At 44.5% G+C, this 4029-nt stretch overlaps 1 annotated feature.

Annotated features, from left to right (window-relative positions):
• Positions 3451-3984: an enhancer, noted in NCBI's record as "NANOG hESC enhancer chr19:57774577-57775110 (GRCh37/hg19 assembly coordinates)". NCBI's record gives its function as "activates a minimal SCP1, AML or CMV promoter by ChIP-STARR-seq in primed H9 embryonic stem cells {active_cell/tissue: H9 hESC(primed)}" and the evidence as "EXISTENCE:reporter gene assay evidence [ECO:0000049][PMID:30033119]".

The raw sequence follows: 4029 nt of genomic DNA, 5'->3' as shown, positions 1-4029 counted from the left end.
TTTCTGAGTCTTGTGTGTACTTCTAGCAAATCATGAAGCCTGAGGTAAGTAACCTAAAATATCAAGATGATTAAGGCCATTCATCCACGTATCCATTTAGCAGATATCTGAATATCTACTACTGACTAGGAACTATGTGCATGGAACAATTAGGATAAAATCCATATTAACATCTGTGCTCTTTTGAAGCTGGAAATCTAGTTGGTGAGACAGTCAGGAGTCAGTAATCAAACCTAAATATATATGCATGTGTATGCACACACACACACAGATATTTATGAAAGAATGCTTATGACGTAGCTGGGATGAAGGATAAATATTCACTACTGGACAAAGTGTGTGGTGGAAAAGCCCCATGGCAGGTGGGAAAAGGAAACACAAAGTGAAAACAGAAAGGGCATAAGTTATGCAAGATGAAAGGTAGTAAATGAGGCACCTCCCAGACCAGATAAAGCTCAGATAAAGCCCAAAGGATTGACCGTGTAATGATTTGGGAGTTGTTTTTAGAGATGAGGTCTCACTTTGTTGCCCAGGCTGGTCTCAAATACCTGGGCTCAAGCAATCCTCCTACCTTGGCCTCCCAAAGTGCTGAGATTACAGTTGTGAACTACCACACCTGGCCATATTTGGTTTTTATCCCAAGAGTTGAAGCCATAAAAAGTTTTCAGGAAACGTAGTGGGGGCAGAGGGAGGGCGAAGCAGAGCACTATTAAATCTGAGATGGTTCTCTGGTTTCAGCTTAGAGAATGGATTGAAGAGAAAATGTGGGTAAAAGGACACTAATTGAGATGATAGATGGTGAGTGGATGGACTAGGAAGAGGTGGTAGAGAGAAGTGGACATACTTGAGAGATATTTAAGAATTAAAAATGATGGGGCCGGGGCAGTGGCTCACACCTGTAATCCCAGCACTTTGGGAGGCCAAGGCAGGCAGATCACAAGGTCAGGAGATTGAGACCATTCTGGCCAACGTGGTGAAACCCCGTCTCTACTAAAAATACAAAAATTAGCTGGGTGTGGTGGCATGCACCTATAATCCCAGCTACTCAGGAGGCTGAGGCAGGAGAATTGCTTGAACCCAGGAGGCGGAGGTTGCAGTGAGCCGAGTTCGCACCACTGCTCCAGCCTGGGGACAGAACGAGATTCTGTGTTAAAAAAAAAACAAACAAAAAAACACAACTTTCTGATTGTACATGAAGGAGGAAGAGATTGAGGTAACTATGCTGAGTTGGAAATTTCTAGCCAACGTAACTAAACAGTGCCATGTAGTAAAGAGGGAAGACTGAAGTAGATCAGAGTCAGGGAGAAGCATTTTATTGATCTTATTTACATCAGGTGAAGAATGAGGTATCTTTGAAACATCTATGTGAAGATAGCAAGAAGATAACTGGTAATTCAGGTCCAGAGCTGTAAGGATTGCTCAAGACTGGGGTATTCTATTTTCAATGCCTTTAAAGTAAGGGAGGTAACTGAAGCCAAGGGCACAGATGAGGCTGGGGAGAGGCCATACAAGGCAAAAGAGCCTTGGACAAAACCTTTAGGTATTTCAACATTGAGTGGGCAGCTAGATATGGATGACTGCACAAAGAAGGGAGAGAGGGAGGGAACGAATGAGGAAAAAGATGTTACAGAGCCAAGGAAAGAGAACATATTTCACGAATTGAGTATTAGACACAATAAAATTCTACTGATGGCCCAAGAATGACAAGGACTTGTGATTTATAAGCACCAAGTCACTTCTGACCTTAGTCACAATGTCGGAGAAGGTGGCATTGTAGCAAGGAGTTCCACAAAGAGTAGAGGTTTGGGAAGTGGAGAGAAATCAAGAAAGAGGTAATGGAGAAGTGAAAATATTACACAAAAAAGGAAAACATCCCTAAGAGGCTCCTCTATTAAAGGAGGAGAGGGAGGAAAGGACAAATAATCAAGTTGGAGAAACCCATACACACACAGGAAAGACCAGACTGGTGGTGACTGACACTCAAGCAGAAGTCAGTTATGCAAAGATAACTTAGAAAGTGTAAGTGACAAAAGAACATGCAGATGAAAAACAGGCTTGTAGGTGGCCATGATGACATCGAAGGCAAATGTCAGGAGGAAACTCAAGATTGCAAAGAAAGTGACCACTGCTTATGTGTGATTCCAGGGATCAACAAGAGACAGAGTGAGAAGGGACCACTTCAAACACGTGTCATTTTACCCAAGAGCAGGGACATGGAATGGCACTGGGAAGGGCAAACAGGTATGTTGAGAGGCTATACAACTGCAATGCCGTAGATCATAAGAAAAGAGAGTTAATGCAGATGCCTGAGAATATCAAGCAAACAAATGGGCCGGGCGCGGTGGCTCACGCCTGTAATCCCAGCACTTTGGGAGGCTGAGGTGGGCAGATCACTTGAGGTCAGGAGTTTGAGACCAGCCTCGATATGGAGAAACCCCATCTCTCCTAAAAATACAAAATTAGCCAGGCATGGTGGTGCATGCCTGTGATCTCAGCTACTCGGGAGGCTGAGACAGAATTGCTTGAACCTGGGAGGCAGAGGTTGCGGTGAGCCGAGATTGCGCCATTGCACTCCAGCCTGGGCAACAAGAGCAAAACTCCATCTCAAAAAAAGAAAAAAGAAAAAAAAAAAAAAAAGAACAAATGATGTAGGTAGGACTGGGAAATAATATACAGAAAGACAAACTTCAAACTTCAAACAGCTTGGAGAAATGACAGAATAATGTTTGTATATCTGGGGCCCTCAATTAGTTGTGCTTGGCCTTTTTCAGAAGTGTCCAACAATGAGAAAGGCATCTGGAACTATTTTTCTAAAGTCTTGACTACTGACATCACTGGGATCCCACCAACACAGTGGTCCCTTGGATGTCTGGTTCCTAGTAATTCACCTAAACAGTCCCTCCTTGGCATCAATCCATCCTCCAATCCATGGTTCTATACCATGTTGCCTGATGTAGGTACCCAGTACTCTAGAAATTACACGGAAATGTAACTTCCATGTAATGGTTTGAGGTGGCATTTTGAGAGGCCAATTTTATTATTCAGGTATGGTGAGGCCAACAGATCAGGAGATACTGCCATTGAAGAGATGCTTAGCTACACACACTTCCCAAGAAAGGGGCACACACCAGGCAGTGTAGGACCACATGCGGAAGCAGCAGGATCGGAAAAACAGCAGGAGCTGGGGGAAAGCATGGGCAAGAACCTTCACTGTGCTTTTGCAGGTAAGAATGGTCAAGACAAGGTAAGCAAGCTAAGCAGGGTTAGGCTTGGCTTTTTAATTTTATTTTATTTTGAGACAGGCTCTCACTCTTGTCACCTAGGCTGGAGTACAGTGGTACCATCATAGCTCACTGCAGCCTCAACCTCCTGGGCTCATTTAATACTCCCACCTCAGCCTCCCAAGTAGCTGGGAGTACAGGCATACACCACCATGCCTAGCTAATTATTATATCTTTTTGTAGAGATGGGGTCTCACTATGTTGCCCAAGCTGGTCTCAAACTCCTGGACTCAAGTGATCCTCCCACTTCAGCTTCCCAAAGTGCTGAGATTACAGGCCTGAATTTCATTAGGAACTGTCCCTACTTGCTTAATATCTGACCCTGGAGTGGTTATGGCAGGAAGATAGTGGCTCCATGTGTGAGGCCTTGATAAAGGGGGTGGGGGAAGGGAATGGGCACTGAATTGTTTGGTTGCATATCAAAGGCACATACCCAGGGGAGTCCTTTGCTACCACTTAAAATTAGCTAGTCCTGGGATGGGCAGTCTCTCAGGATCAGCAAGGCTCCACTTGCCAAACAGCAGAATAGCCAGTACAGTGGCTCATGCTTGTAATCCCAGCACTTTGGGAGTCTGAGATGGGAAGATTACTTGAGCCCAGGAGTTTGAGGCTGCAGTGAGTTATGATCGCACCACTGCCCTCCAGCCTGGGTGACAGTGAGATCTTCTCTCTCAAAGCCAGCATAATAAAAACATGTGAATACATGGATCTCCAATTTAAGTGAGGCAGAGTGGCTATGAATGTCCTT

Source organism: Homo sapiens, chromosome 19, assembly GCF_000001405.40.
Source record: "Homo sapiens chromosome 19, GRCh38.p14 Primary Assembly".
Classification (NCBI taxonomy): Eukaryota; Metazoa; Chordata; class Mammalia; order Primates; family Hominidae; genus Homo; species Homo sapiens.
This window is presented reverse-complemented; position numbering and strand designations above follow the sequence as displayed.